Here is a 15,956-nt window from a genome sequence, read left to right as displayed (position 1 = left end):
AACATAGAATAAAATAGAAATTAGGATAAAAAGAATAATGTTCAATGTTTATCAGCCATTTTGCAACTGGAGGAGGTACTCATACAGGTTTGGGTTTGAATCCTGGATCAGCCCTCCCATATGTTAGCTGTGTGATCCTGGACAAGTTATTTAACTTCTATATGCCTCAGTTCCATCATTTGTTTATCTTGGGACAATTACAGTACATTGTATCTGCCTTATAGACTGTTGGGAGCTTTAAATTACTAAAATGTACGTAAAGTCCTAGGGGAGAGCCCGGTACACAGCAGGGGTGGAATGACTGGCAGCCATCAGCATATATATTCCCTCTGGTGAAGTGAGGAGACGATAGTATGGCTGAATCCTAAATAACCGTTAACAGTGTTTAAGACTGGAGGTTGGTTGACTAATCTCTTTGGTACGACCAAAGAGTCAAAGAAAGAAACATTGATTAGGCCCCTTACTCACCTCTACTGCACTGTAAATGAGGTGATACATTTGTCTTTTCATATCCTAGCTGGACTTATCCCACAAAGATAACCAAATGAGAAAAGACACTTGCCCAGTCCTCAGCAAGGCCCATAGCTCAAGAACTTTCTATTTCCTGAAAATAACCTTTTTTTAAAAAAGGCAAGTCCATTGTCTGAAATTCTATCACAACTGACCCATTAGAGCAATCAAATCCTGCTCACTATCTATCAGATTGACAACAATGTTAAAGTAACTTGTCTCAGTTCAGAAAACGCTTTGAAAGTCTATCTCACACTAATGATCAAAAACTGTTCTAGTGAATGCTCTTTTTCAATAACAAAGCTGATCAGAAACTCAAAACAGACAAGTAAAATCCAAAGTCATCTCACAAATCTCACTAAAATCAGTACTGACACGGACACATTTCCTAGTCTTGACTACACAGATAATTCTGAAATAGTTGAAAATGAAAAATCCATTAGATGTTGTTTTAAAGTAAGTTTTATAACAGTAAAAATTGCCTTTGTTCTCAAAAGGGATCAGGGACAAAAGGGAGTCCAGTAATGGGAAGCAGGGGTTTTCTTCCCATAAATAAACTTCATGAGGACAGGTACTCTGACTGTCCTGTCTCCACTAGAGCCCCAGTACTTAAAATAGTGCCTGGCATGAAGCAGCTTCTTAAAAAGTGATTACTGATTGCCCAGGCATGGTGGCACATGACTGTAGTCCCAGCTACTCGTAAGGCTGAGGCAGGAGGACTGCTTGAGCCCAGGAGTTCAAGGCTGTAGTGAGCTATGATTGTACCACTGCATTCCAGCCTGGATGACACAGTGAGACCCTGTCCCCAAAAAATAAAAAAGAAAGAAAGGAAAAATTTACTGAGTGATCTGAAGGAAAAAAGTAAAAAGACTTGCCTGTTGTCTCAAGAACTGTTGAAGGGATCTGGAGAAAGGTTCTGAGGGTAAACTGTGCTGTGGCAAAATCACGTGGAAAATCCCTGACTTTCAACTGGTGCAAACTCTCAGTTGTAAAAGCTAATAGCCTCAAAAACATGTTTCATGAAAGAAGCCAGACATAATAAAGTCATATATTGTATGATTCCATTTATATAAAGTATCCAGAATAGGTAAATCTGCAGAGATGAATGAGACTGGTACTTTCCAGGGCCTGCGGGCGGGGAGGAAGGAATGGGATGCAACTGCTTTACAGGCTTGGGGTTTCCTTTTGGAGTGATGATAATGTTTGGAAGAAGTGGTGGTTGCACAACATGGTGAATGCCACAGAACTGCTCACTTTAAAATGATTTTAAAACTACTAAATGCCACAGAACTGCTCACTTTAAAGTGATTAACTTTATGTGAATTAAGGGAAAGCCACTGAATAAACGAAGAGAAAATCATCTGTAACCTTAGAGAGGGCAGGTGCTAGAGGCCAGTGCATGAAGAAACAAGTACAGGATGTGCTAGAAGGTAGCCTGAAAAAGTCCAGCTTCTCTGGCAAAATTTGAGTTGAAATTAGGAGTGTGGCCCTGTCAGGTACTGTTCAACACCTTGTTTGTCCCAGCACCAGTCTTGGAAGGAGAACACAATTGGAGAAACCACAGAGGTCATAGAATGTACAGGAAACCCTTCAATTGTTCTAATACCTCTACCCTCAAAGCACAGTAGCCCATCTCAACTCTACATAACAACCGCCCCCTGCAAAAAAAAAAAAAAAATCCTATCACTTTTGAATTTGATTTTGTGTGTGAAGAATAAGTTGCAAAGACCTTGAATGTTCTATAAACAGGATGATTGTGAAGTTGTAGGAAGGAATTCCGAGAAGAAAGAGCAATACAAAAAAATATAAGGATTTCTTTTCTTCCCTTTCTTACTGTAACTTCAGGTTCACTGGAGGGGCTGCCCACATAAGTGCTATTTTGATTAAGAAGCTGTGGTATAATAGGAAATATATTTGGCCTTTGTCCCAGTTCTCTGGCACAGAGCCCCTAAAGCCCTCGGAATTTCCTAAGCGATAGAATACCTTTTGTTATTCATAATGGCCCCTTTTGATCACAACAGAGTTTATGCTAATGAGAAAATTTAGGGCAGGGTCCTGAGATAGCCTCAGGTTGGGGGTGGTCACCAGAAAGACCAAGTGATTAGAGGGCTGGAACTTTCAGCTCCACCGAAGGACCTCTGGGAAAGGGGTTGGGGGGGGGGGTAGGGTTAGAGATGAAAACTGTAACTACTCTTCTTGAACAAAGAGATTTGATGAACTTCTAGGTTGCAGAACACCTGGAGATGCTAGGTGGGTAAGGTACCTGGAGAAATGTGGAAGCTTTGCCCGCCCCCTTACCCTGCACATTTCTTTTACGTCTGGTTTTTCTTGAGTTGTATCTTTAAATAAACTGGTAAATGTGAGTAAAGTGTTTCCTTGAGCTCTTCTAGCAATTCTAGCAAGTTATGGCTAGAATAACCTAAGGAAGGGTTGTGGGAATTTACAGCCCGTGGGTCAGAAGGATGGGAAATTGCGTGATTGGCATCTGAAGTGAAGGCAGTCTTGTGGGACTGAGCCCTTTCCCGTATGGGATCTGATGCTAACTCCAGATAGACACTGTCAAAGTTGGATTAAATAGTAGAACACCCAGCTCATGTCCAGAGAGCAGACAGTAGCTTGGTGTAAAAAAACCCCACACATTTGCTGTCTGAGTGTGTGCAGAGAAACTTTTAAGTGTGTGTAGAGAAACTTTTTATAGAGAAGCAATATATTTGTGCCAATAAATCAAAGAATTAGATACTGTCATAATTTCTAAAGAATTCTCAGGTGCAATAACCTCAGTGTTGATAGTATTATAGGTAGGTGGCAACAGATGAATCCCTTGCATCAGGCTCTGTTTTTCTTAAGCAAGTTAATTCTTGTGCAAATCATTATTCATAGTTGTTAAGCATCTACTGTAGAAAAAAGTTACTTTCCCACCTAACTCTGAATGTTTCACTAGAAGTAACTTGAAAAATAATCTACTTTTCACTGGCAAATAAATTATCTTGACTGTTGCTTTACATGTCAACACACTGAAATTTTTATTACACTGAGAAGAGCCTGAATAGGAGAACTGGTTTATTTTTTGTTTCTCAGTCACTATATTTGGTGTTTCCCTGGAATTTCCCCCCAGAGTTTCAAGAAAGTACCTAAATGTAGGACTGTTTAAAATGAATTTTTTAAAAATTTAGGAAGAGTTTTTCAATTAAAAGAATTTCTCTTTCTTACCTCTTTAGTATTACATAGAACTGAAACAAATAAAAGAAAGTTCAAGAGAAAAATAACATCAATGAAGTTGTAAAAATCCCAACTGCAATGAAATGGTGGCATTTTCTTCATTCTACCACATGGTAAATCTGTTTGAATGACAGTGACAGAACCACATGCAAAGTTGCATACATTCTTTTCTCCCAATGATAATATCTGGCCCCATTTTTTTTCCTGACATTGCTCAGGGATTGACATAACATGTGAGTTTTATACCCCTGGATGTAATTTTTGCCTCACCTTTGCCTAAGGGAAAAGTATACCCTTCTCCCTCCTTTATGAAAATGATCTTACGTTAATAAAAACTTACATTTTTTAAAACCTACAATGCATATTGGTAGAAAAGAGAAGGTGAATAGTCATGTAAACAAGTGAAGTTTTCTAACATACGAATTTTCCTGTGAGATAGACATAAGGTCCCAACTTGCAAACTCAGTTTCAAGAACACAAGATTCTTGGCATGATCCCGAGGTAGTCGAAGGTACAAGGAGAGCTTTGCCAACATGTGGGTTTACCTGAAAAGCCTTATATCAGATAATAGAGTTCACTCACGTTTAGGAACCGTGCCCTTTACAGTTCTGATATAAGGCTTCTCAAGTAAAAAAGCAACTGTCCACTCTCCAGACATGAGCTGGGTGTCTTACTATTTAATCCAACGTTGACACTATCTATCTGGAGTTAGTATCAGATCCCATACGTGAGAGGGCTCAGTCCCACAAGACTGCCTTCACTTCAGATGCCAATCACGCAAGTCCCCATCCTTCTGACCCATAGTTACAGTTGTAACCTAACCATGGGAACATATTTTATTTATTGAGAGCCTCTTGTGTCTTCATTCTCAATGAGGACAAATTGGGAGCCAACATTATGTCATTACTGTTCTTGTTTGCTCCTCTCAAATAAATAGAGTATGATTTTTGTTGTTTTTTAATAATGAGACTATGATTACAAGTCATTCAGAGAAAAAAAATAAAATGTTGGTCAGTTTGAATTAGCAAATTAAGAATGACCAAAAATGGCACACATTATCTTAGTCTGTTTTTCAACTTTTTTTTTTTTTTTCCTGAGACGGAGTCTCGCTCTGTCACCCAGGCTGGAGTGCAGTGGCGCAATCTCGGCTCACTGCAAGCTGCGCCTCCCGGGTTCATGCCATTCTCCTGCCTCAGCCTCCCCAGTAGCTGGGACAACAGGCGCCCACCACCATGCCCGGCTAATTTTTTGTATTTTTAGTAGAGACGGGGTTTCTCCATGTTAGCCAGGATGGTCTCGATCTCCTGACCTCGTGATCTGCCCACCTCAGCCTCCCAAAGTGCTGGGATTACAGGTGTGAGCCACCGCACCCAGCCAATCTCTTTTTCATCTTAACTAAGCCTGTCAAGGAAACTTGTCTTGCTTTCCTCATGCTTATCATTTGATTGGCCCAGGGTTTAAGCTAATTAATAGGTGGGTCAGCTATGAGTCATTTTCTTAAGATGGTCTAATCCTTGTTCTACATCTGATTTTATTTCATTTAACGTATCTGTGCTTTAATAGCCTCTCATAAAGATAACTGCTTTTAGATTTAGAGGAGATTAAAAAGCCTCAGAATTGCCAGAACACCTCTGTTGAGTCCCCTCCATAAAAACGACTGGGAAGTTCACAAGTTACACTGATGCTAGAAAGGTTGCTTGAAATTTTAGGATGAATTTTCCTAGAAGGCAATACACATTTTTGAAGTAAGTTTCCAAGAGATTTTATACTCTGATTCCTATGCTAGAGTCCCTAGACACGTTAAAAAACATAGACTCCCCTGGGAGGGTTTCTTTTTGCGACCTCAAGGGAAACACACTTAGGATCCTGAGATCCAATTAAATTTAAGAACTAAATCTTGACTGGAATAGAAGTTCTTGTCCTGGGCTCTTACACGGGCTCTTGAGAGTTTTAAATGTCAGGACCTTAATTCAAACTGTAACCCAAATCAAAGATTCCCAAATCAAAGAAATGCACATTTCAATATAGAGAAAAAGGATTTCAAAATGTGAATTCATTTTGTAAATTAAAAAAAAAAAACGAGCATTAGGGGGTTGGGGTCATTTTAATCTCCTAAAATTCTTTGCAAAAAATAATCAAAATAACTACAAGTCCCAAACTCTAAGATATGGGGCCTTGAGCTAGCAACTAAGAGACTATGACTGAGTTGATCGCACAGAGATGTAAGACACTGACCTGCTAGTGGAGTTGATTACCTGGGCCATGCCTGCTGAATTTATTTCTCCAGGCACTGGACAATGGTGGCATTTGTGAATATCTCTGCTTTGCTTGCTTCCAGCGCAGAGTGTAGGATACTTTGCACTACCTAAAGCTTGGTTGCTTTTTTCTCTTAATAAATAGCGAGCAATCAGGGAAATAAAATACCAGGTGACCTCCACCTTTTACCAAATCAACAATATTTCTCAAAGGCCTATTCTCCAAGACATTCTCCTGGCAAATGTCATGGCTGCGATTACTGAGCACAAGGAACACTTGGATAAACGGAGATCCCTTATGTTTACCTGCAGATAGTTTCCATCCTAAGCTGACAAAGGCTTTATTTTTTTCTCTCTAAAATTGAAGCCCCCTGCTCCCAACCCCACCAAATTAATCATTTTCCTTCGTTATTTAGTAAAGCCACTAGATGAGCTGTGTGTGACTCCATAAACTTTAGGAACTCATTTATTACGTTGCCTGATCAGACCTTGCATTTATTTACACAGTGTACCCATAAAACCCAGCTTTCATTAGTGCTGGGGAGGAACAGTCCTGCTCCCTTTGCTGGGGAAGGTGAAGCTGGAGAAGATAATTAACCATGAAACAATAAGGAGGCTTGCTGGGTAAGCAGTAGTGTGAAAACAGTTACTCCTCACAAAAGAGGGGAAATTAGCTTGCTGGATAAAAAAGGAAGTGTCAGATTGAAGACTGAAAGGCCTGCCAACAGAAGTAGATAGCTCTATGCATCATTAATGAAATTTTTTAACACTTAAACGCCACAGCTGTCCACATTTAAATGCATGTAAATGCCATGTGTTTCCAGAGATTAATACGCATGTTAAAATATTTCTTTCCCCTTAAACTTCTAGCTGTTGTCTCTGTCTGTTTTATTTCACCTACTTTCTTTCTAAGAATAAAAATGCGCCAGCTTTCTCAGCTTTATGTCCTCATTTCCAAAGCCCACGTACACTGAGCATCTTAGAGATGGGCAGCATGCTCATTATATTTTAACAAACACATTATTTTACATTCATAATACTGATATTTAAGTAAACAAAAAGTTTGTTTTGATTTTGCTGCTTCACAGAGTGAAGACTTATGATGTGCGTTTCCTTTCAAAACTTCCTCCTAGAGCATTAGTGCTCCCTGAAGCAGCCCCATTTTGGCAGAAATTCAGTTCTGTGCAGTGCCAAAAGAAATAGAATAAACAAACACTGCTCCATGCAGCTGGTGAGATAATTTACATATTACTGCACACCAAACATGAAGACCTGAATATGGATTAGAGCTACGGTGATGACACAAATGTCATATAGATAAAGAGAAACAAAATTCAACACATCGTTGTTTATTTTACCACTGCTACTGTATGAGTGCTGCTCAGAAAGAAAAAAAACGGAAGAATTGCTTTTGGAAAATTGGACTCCCTTCCCTATTTGAAGTGGGTTCTTTCGGACCGTAAAACAAGAAAAGAAAGGAGCAAAAAGCATGGATTATTTCGGATCTCTTAATATTCTCTACTTTTGCTTTGTGAGTTAAAACAATTTTAATGTGCATCAATTTAGACGAGGTGAGTTAGTAATCTTACAGGAATGACCTTTAAAATACAAAAACACCTGAAGTTTTACCCAGCCCTTTCTCCACCCTTGATAATTTCAGCTGAACACTGAGATTTTTAACTCAGAATGAGGTCCTTGGTTAGGAGGTGGAGTAGGCAATACGGGCCCATAAAAGTTCCATCAGGAAATAGCATCTCATGGACAGGAGTTGTCTTAGAGTGCTCAGCTAATGTGTCTTCTCTCTTCATCCCTGCATGTGCAGATTTATGCAAATCAATTGACCCTTTCTGACCTCAGCTAGATGTATAGGTGTTCTAGGAAAGAAGGGACAGCTCTCTGGATAATTATTGCTGTTAACTCCTTTTCTAATTATTGGGGATGACAAGATTCAAGAAAGTAACACAAATAATAATGATGGTGATAGGGTGAGGAATAAAGAGAATGTGAGATGTTTTAGTCCACACCAAATTAAAAATTCTTTAACCTGCATTGGACAAAGTTGACTTTTCTATATATGCAAAACTGCTCTTGAAATGCGGTTATTTTGGGAGCTTCTAGTCCTTTAATCTTTACAGGTACAGTGTTATTATGACCACTCTTTCTCAAGCGTAAAAACAAAGGGACAAGTCAGGCCCACATAGGTGAATCTAGTTATGTATCACTAAAGTTTAATAGTTAAGGAATGATCTTTAAAATTTAGGAAACAAACAATGTGAGAAGGTTCAAGGGAGTTGGTGATATTTCACGAGGTGAGTGAAAGTCTACTTCTTTTCTATAGTATTTGAAAAGTTATTGGACAGGAAAAGTTCTTTATTTCCACAACTCTAAAACTCGAGAAATGGAATGATATTGCCACAAGAAAAAATAGGTGAGATACACAAGAAGAAACCATTATTAAAAAGGCAATTTAATATTCTCACAGAGTCTCATGAAAATTGGTGAAAAACTCATCACTAGACTTTTTTCAGAACAGAAGAGACAACCATGTACTTAGGATAATCACATGAACCACTTTCAAACCAAGCTTCCTAAAACAAATCCTTTGGTTTTCTTCCCTCACTAGAGAACAAAAACAGAACCTAAACCCAGAACTTTCAGTGGATATTTTCTCTTCTAAATTACCCTGACTTTAAGGCATTCCATAATTTTGTCACATAAAATGAGTGAAATTTAAATCTTTTTTTTTTTTTTTTGAGACATGGTCTTGCTCTGTCATCCAGGATGGAGTGCAGTGGTGCAGTCATAGTTTACTACAGCCTTGAGCTCCTGCACTCAGGCAATCTTCTCCCATCAGCCTCTTGTGCCACCATGCCTGGCTAATTTTTTAAGTTTGTATGTAGAGGTGGGGTCTCACTACGTTGCCCAGGTTGGTCTGGAACTCCTAGCCTCAAGCGATCCTCCTGCCTTGGCCTTCCAAAGATGTGGGATTTTATATATATATATATATATTTCCCCCCCTTTCTTTGAGATGGAGTCTCGCTCTGTCACCCAGGCTGGAGTGCAGTGGGGCCATCATGGCTCACGGCAACCTCTGCCTCCTAGGTTCAAACGAGTCTCCCACCTCAGCCTCCCAAGTAGCTGGGACTACAAGTGTGAGCCACCATGCCCAGCCAACAAATATTTTTTGAATAATGAATGAATACATAAATGTGGTTTATACTACCCTTACCCCAATCTCTCAAAATTCAATCTTAAACTCCTTTAAAGATTTCTCTGCTAACCCAGATCTCAGTGATTTCCAGCTTATTTGATTCTTGCATTAGAGATAGAATCACATAATTTAGCACTTGCATTCATTTATGCATTCAACAAATGTTCACTGAGTTTTTTTGTGTGTGTAGGGGGACAGGGTTTTGCTCTGCTGCCCGGGCTGGAGTGTAGTGGTGCAATCTTGGCTCACTGCAACCTCTGCCTCCCAGACTCAAGCAATCCTCCCACCTCAGCCTTCTGAGTAGCTGGGACCACAGACACACACCAGCGCCCCTGGTTAATTTTTGTATTTTTAGTAGAGAAGGGGTTTTGCCATGTTGCTCAGACTGGTCTCTAATTCCTAGCCTCAAGCAATCCACCTGCCTCAGTCTCCCAAAGTGTTGGAATTAGAGGGGTGAGCCACTGCCCCAGGCCTCACTGAATATTTATTACATAGTACTGCCCAAGCACTGAGCAGATAAAAAGGTGAATCAAGCAGACTCACCTATCAAGTATCTAACAGTTTTGTATTTAGTTTTGTAATTGGTGCTGTCATTTCCATCCCAGACATAGTTTGGAATAACTACTGTCTCATCTATGTCAAAATTATCTTGCAAATTCTTTGGGTGTGAAGCTCATGTCCCGTTCTATTTCTGTGTAGGCAAATCCCAGAACAATGCTGAGCATATGGCAGGCACTCAAATGGTACTTCTTGATTATCTGCCCCCAGGTTCAGTTCCTTTCAATCCATGGAAACATACAACGAACCATCCTTGCAAATAGATTAAATATTCAGAATCCAATATTTGCATAATCAGCAGTGATACATTAATAGTACTAAGGCTATAGGAAGAATAGTTAATCAATACTAAAATAGCCTTCATACCATGGCCTCATGAGTTTGCTTGTACTGTATTGCACTGCTACTCTTCTCTATGCAATAATTAGCTTTTTCAATATTGGTATTTCAATGTTAACCCCCTGGATGTCTAAACATAGCATCTTTTGTTTGATATTCTGCAAACTTACCCATTTATATGTTAAAAATTCATAAACACAATTCAAGGGAAACAACAGACCTAAAATATTAGAACTAAATGAAAAAGAAAATTGGAGTAAATCTGATCTTCTATAGAGGGATAAGAAAATTATTTGACCCCAGTGGCATTTCCACTTAAATGTTTTCTCTTTAGTCAAAATTTAAATGTGACTGCTGCTTCATGATCAGGGAGTTGATACTGAGGCTTAATATCCATTATTTCTAGACCAATGCTTCTCAACCTTTTTCAAGTCATAACACACAGAAAATGTTATCATAGATTTGCATACTGGGAAGGAAGTTGCTCACCGCAGAAGGCAAATAGCCTATAGTTCTCCCAGGTCTCCCCTTCCCCACCCATCTCTCCTCCTACACGCAGGATGACAATTTCAATATCTTAGTCCACATCTAAATGAATCATGGTACATGGCTGGGCAACTCTGCATAAGATAAGTATAACTAGAGGTTTCTTTGGTTGGCAAAACCATGAATATATGAGAAGATGAAGGAATAGTTTAAGTAGTTCAATGTTGCGGGAAGTCAGGGACCCCGAACAGAGGGACCAGGCAGGAGCCGTGGCAGAGGAACATAAATTGGGAAGATTTCATGGACATTCATCAGTTCCCAAATAATACTCTTATAACTTCTTACGCCTGTCTTAATCTCTTAATCCTGTTATCTTCGTAAGCTGAGGATGTACACCTCAGGACCATTGTGATAATTGTGTTAACTGTACAAATTGATTGTAAAACATGTGTTTGAAAAATATGAAATCAGTGCACCTTGAAAAAGAATAGAATAACAGCGATTTTTAGGGAACAAGGGAAGACAACCATAAGGTCTGACTGCCTGTGGGGTTGGGCAAAAAGAGCCATATTTTTCTTCTTGCAGAGAGCCTATAAACAGACGTGCAAGTAGGGAAGATATCTCTAAATTCTTTTCCTAGCAAGGAATATTAATATTAATACCCTGGGAAAGGAATGCATTCCTGGGGGGAGGTCTATAAATGGCTGCTCTGGGAGTGTCTGTCTTACACGGTTGAGATAAGGACTGAGATATGCCCTGGTCTCCTACAGTACCCTCAGGCTTATTAGGGTGGGGAAAAACTCCACCCTGGTAAATTTGTGGTCAGACCGGTTCTCTGCTCTCGAACTCTGTTTTCTGTTGTTTAAGATGTTTATCAAGACAATATGTGCACAGCTGAACATAGACCCTTATCAGTAGTTCTGTTTTGCCTTTTGTCCTGTTCCCTCAGAAGCATGTGATCTTTGTTCTGCTTTTTGCCCTTTGAAGCATGTGATCTTTGTACCTACTCCCTGTTTTACACACTCTCCCCTTTTGAAACCCTTAATAAAAACTTGCTGGTCTGAGACTCAGGCGGGCTTCGTGGTCCTACCAATATGTGATGTCACCCCCAGCAGCCCAGCTGTAAAATTCCTCCCTTTGGAGGGTCTGGCCTGCAATGAGAAAGGTTATGTGCCTGGAGAAGCAGGTAAGATGGGATAATCAGATAGTGTTTTTGAAAGATTACATAGGCTTCAGTGTAGAGAACAGCTGGAAGTGGGTAAAAGTTGATGTGAGGAAGGCAATATTACAGGCTATAGGTAAGTGGCACAGATAAGTGGTACTGATAAGAATAGGAAGAATAACAACTAACATTTATTGGATACTTTCTTTGTGCCAAGCAATATCCTAAGCACTTTATAGGTATTAACTCATTTATGAGAGATTCTGGTAGGTTGGGCTAAGGTGGTGATACTGCAGTTATACAAAAGTAGATGGATTTACGAGCTCTTTAGAAAGTAAAACCAATCAGACCCATTAACGGACTAGATGGACTGATAATGAGTGAGTTGCCAAGGATGACCCATGATCTTGGGAAAGATTGAAGAGATTGTGCTATCTCTCCTTGAGAGCCAGAATAATGGAGAAGAATCAGTTTGTCAAGGAAGATCAGCAGTTTTGTTTTTGACAAACTGAGTTTGAAATGCCTTTAGGAAACCTCAGTAGAGCTGTGGAGCTGTATGTATGTGTTTAGAGCTCAGATGAGTAGTTCTTGAAGTTATGGGCATGAGTGAGATTGCCTAGAGCGAAAGAAGAGAATGAAAAGAGCATCTAGACTCAAAAGCTGGGTAGAGAAAGATAAACAGAGAAAATGGAAAGATCAATGTAAACAAAAGTAATCAGACTTCTAAGAAGTATCTCCGAAAAAAAATAAGAGTAGTCAGAAAGAAATTTGGGAAGAGGAGGTATTTGAGCTCGACTCTGGGAGTTAAGTAGGATTTTTAGAAGAACTTTTCTTCTATAAAACGATGCATTTTACAATTCTGTAGGAATTTTTTTAGCGCAGCAAAATATAAAGAAGAAAATAAAAATTATTCTTAATAACCCAGAGATAACACCTGTAAATATTTGATGGCTTGTTATGTATACCCGACATGATCAGCATTATATGCATATCTGCTTTTCATTCTTTGTGCATCAAAAATATTTGTTTTGTTTTTTTTTTTATAGAGACGGGGTTTCCCCATGTTGGCCAGGCTGGTCTTGAACTCCTGACCTCAGGTGATATGCCTGCCTTGGCCTCCCAAAGTGCTGGGATTACAGGCATGAGCCACCGTGCCTGGCCACAAATATTTCTTAATTCATAAAATATTTCCTTTTAAAAAATCTTTTAAGACAGATCTAAAAAATCTTTTTTAAGACAGAGACTCACTCTGTTGCCCAGGCTGGAGTGCAATCTTGGCTCACTGCAGCCTCTGCCTCCCGAGTTCAAGCAATTCACCTGCCTCAGTCTCCTGAGTAGCTAGGATTACAGGCATACACAACCACGCCTGGCTAATTTTTATATTTTTAGTAGAAATGAGGTTTCACCATATTGGCCAGGCTGGTCTTGAACTACTGACCTCAACTGATCTGCCCATCTTGGCGTCCCAAAGTGCTGGAATTACAGGTGTGAGCCACTGTGCCCAGCCTTCATAAAATATTTTTAAGAAACGTGATTTTTAAGGATGTTAAATACTCTTAAAGGCTTACTTAAAACCCATATTGTTAGAAATTCATATTTCCAATTTTTTTTGGTTTTGTAAATAAAGCATGATGAATATCTTTATATGCATAGCTCAGGTTATTTTCTGAGGGTAAATTTGATAAAGATAAATACTAGGCCAAAGGGTGTGAACACTTTTCAGGATATTGATAAATAGCTAAAGATTATGTGAATTTGCAACCGATTGCTACCTCTCTAACACTGAAATTTGTCTTTAATTTTCCCTCTTTTTGATGAGTAAACAAATAGCAAATGACAAACTGCCACTTTGCATTTCTTTCACTACTATTTGGATTGGATATTTATTTATAGGTTTAGTAACCTTTTGTATTTATTACTTTGTGAATCACTTGGTCATATCTTCTGCCCATTTCTGGGATACTTAGAACCAACTGGATAGGTAGGCTATTCTTGGGGCAAAATATTTATATAGTCACAGTGGTACCAGACTATGGAGGCTTGGAAGATTATGAACTTTGATTTACAAGCAAAATGAAGCCAAAACATATCCTTGCTGAGTGGTATAACATAATTACAATAAACAAAAAATTCCCAAACTGAAATGCAGAGAAAAAAGTAAAAAGAATAAAATATCCCAAGAACTGTGGGAAAATTTCTAATGGTATAACATACATATAATTGGGATACCAGAAAGCAAAGAAAGGATGGAGTAGAATATTTGAAGTGAAATGGTTGAGAGTATTTCAAAACTAATGACAGACAAATCTCAGAGCCAGGAAGCAGGATAAATACCAAAAAATCTATGCTTAGGCAAATCATACACAAATTGTAGAAAATGAAAGACAAAGAGAAAATCTTAAAAGATGCCAGAGGATAAAAAACTGTATCCATAGAGGAATAAGGATAAGAACTACAGTGGACTTCTCATCAGAAATCATTCAAGCAAGAAGAGAGTGAAGTGAAATATTTAAAGTGTTATAAGAAAAAAACCACCAAACTATAATTCCAAATCCACAAATTCTCCTTCAAAAGTGAGGGATAAATAAAAACTTTCTCAGGACAAACAAAACCTGGGTGGTTTCATTGCCAACAGAACTGCCCTACAAAAAATATTAAAAATAGTTATTTAGGGAGAAGGAAATAACAGAGGTAAGAAACCTGGATTGACATAAAGAAAGAATCCTCAGAGAAGAAATAAATAAGGTAAAATCAAATCTTTCAGTTCTCTTATTTTTAATTGATCTAAAAGAAAACTGTTTAAATTAACAGTAGTAACAACGTACTGGGTGATTAGGCCATACATATGAATAAAGTGATGACAGCAATGTTGTAAGAAATGGGAGGGAGGAATTGAGTATACTCTGTTATAAGTTAACCGCACTATACATGCGAAGCAGTATAGTATTGTTTGAAGGTAAACTCGGATTTGTTTAAAATGTTTATGGCAAGCTCTAGGATAACCTCTAAATTTTTTAAAGAGAAATATAATTGATACATTAAAAGAGGAAACAAAATGAAATGAAATAAAATGTTCATTTAAAATAAAAAAAGCAGAAAAAGAAGGAAAAAAGAAAGAACAAATGCAATGAATAAACATAGTTACTAATGTGATAGATATTAATCCAACTATATTAATAATCACTTTAAATATGAAGGGTCTAAATAATGCAATTAAAATATAGAGATTGCCAGAATAGACAAAAGAACAAGACCCAACTATATGCTGTCTATACAAACTCACTTTTTATTTATTTATTTATTTTTGAGACAGAGTGTCACTCTGTTGCCCAGGCTGGCACGTAGTGGTACAATCATGGCTCACTGCAGCCTGGACCTCCTGGGCTCAAGTGATCCTCTCACCTCTGTCTCTTGAGTAGCTGAGACCACAGGTATGCACCACTATGCCCAGCTAATTTTTGTATTTTTTTTGCATAGATGGGTTTTTGCTATGTTGCCCAGGTTGGTCTCGAATTTCTGAGCTCAAGCAATCTGGACACTTTGGCCTCCCAAAATGCTGGGATTACAGGCATGAGCCACAGCAACTGGCCCACAAACCCACTTTAAATACAAAGACTCTGCTATGTTAAAAGTAAGGAGATGAAGAAAAAGATAGCATGCTAACACTAATCAAAAGGAAGCTAGAGTGTTTATATTAATTTCAGGAAAAGCAGATTCAAAACAAGGAAAATTATCGGGGACAATGAAGGGTATTACACAATAATATATGAGTCAATTCTCTAAGAAAACATACAATTCTAAACATGTATGCACAAAGCAATGGAACATATTAAAATATGTGAAGCAAAAATTGAAAGAACTGCAAGGAGAAACAGAACACCCATTATTATTGCTCAATATTGCTTTTTTCTTTTTCTTTTTGAGACAAGGTCTCACTCTGCTGACCAGGCTGGACTGCAATGGTAGGATCTCAGCTCACTGCAACCTCTGCCTCCTAGGCTTGAGCAATCCTCCCACCTCAGCCTTCTGAGTAGCTGGGACTACAGGTGTGTACCACCATGCCTGGCTAATTTTTGTATATATATATTTTTGTATATGTATATATAGATGTGTGTATATATATGTATATATATGTGTATATATATATGTATATATATGTGTATATATATGTATATATGTGTGTATATATATGTGTGTATATATATGTGTATATATA

General features: G+C 38.4%; 1 protein-coding gene across 15 annotated transcripts in view, besides 2 other annotated features; it reads right to left on the bottom strand.

Moving 5' to 3' along the window:
* Window positions 1-15,956, bottom strand: part of AKAP6 (A-kinase anchoring protein 6) — a 508,387-nt gene that overhangs the window by 21,622 nt on the left and 470,809 nt on the right. The window lies entirely within an intron of this gene.
* Window positions 2,171-2,900: an enhancer, noted in NCBI's record as "OCT4-NANOG-H3K27ac hESC enhancer chr14:33282369-33283098 (GRCh37/hg19 assembly coordinates)". NCBI's record gives its function as "activates a minimal SCP1, AML or CMV promoter by ChIP-STARR-seq in primed H9 embryonic stem cells {active_cell/tissue: H9 hESC(primed)}" and the evidence as "EXISTENCE:reporter gene assay evidence [ECO:0000049][PMID:30033119]".
* Window positions 2,901-3,630: an enhancer, noted in NCBI's record as "NANOG-H3K27ac hESC enhancer chr14:33281639-33282368 (GRCh37/hg19 assembly coordinates)". NCBI's record gives its function as "activates a minimal SCP1, AML or CMV promoter by ChIP-STARR-seq in primed H9 embryonic stem cells {active_cell/tissue: H9 hESC(primed)}" and the evidence as "EXISTENCE:reporter gene assay evidence [ECO:0000049][PMID:30033119]".

This window comes from Homo sapiens, chromosome 14 (genome assembly GCF_000001405.40).
Source record: "Homo sapiens chromosome 14, GRCh38.p14 Primary Assembly".
NCBI lineage: Eukaryota > Metazoa > Chordata > Mammalia > Primates > Hominidae > Homo > Homo sapiens.
Note: the sequence above shows the minus strand (reverse complement) of the source record. Positions and strands in the feature narration are given on the sequence as shown.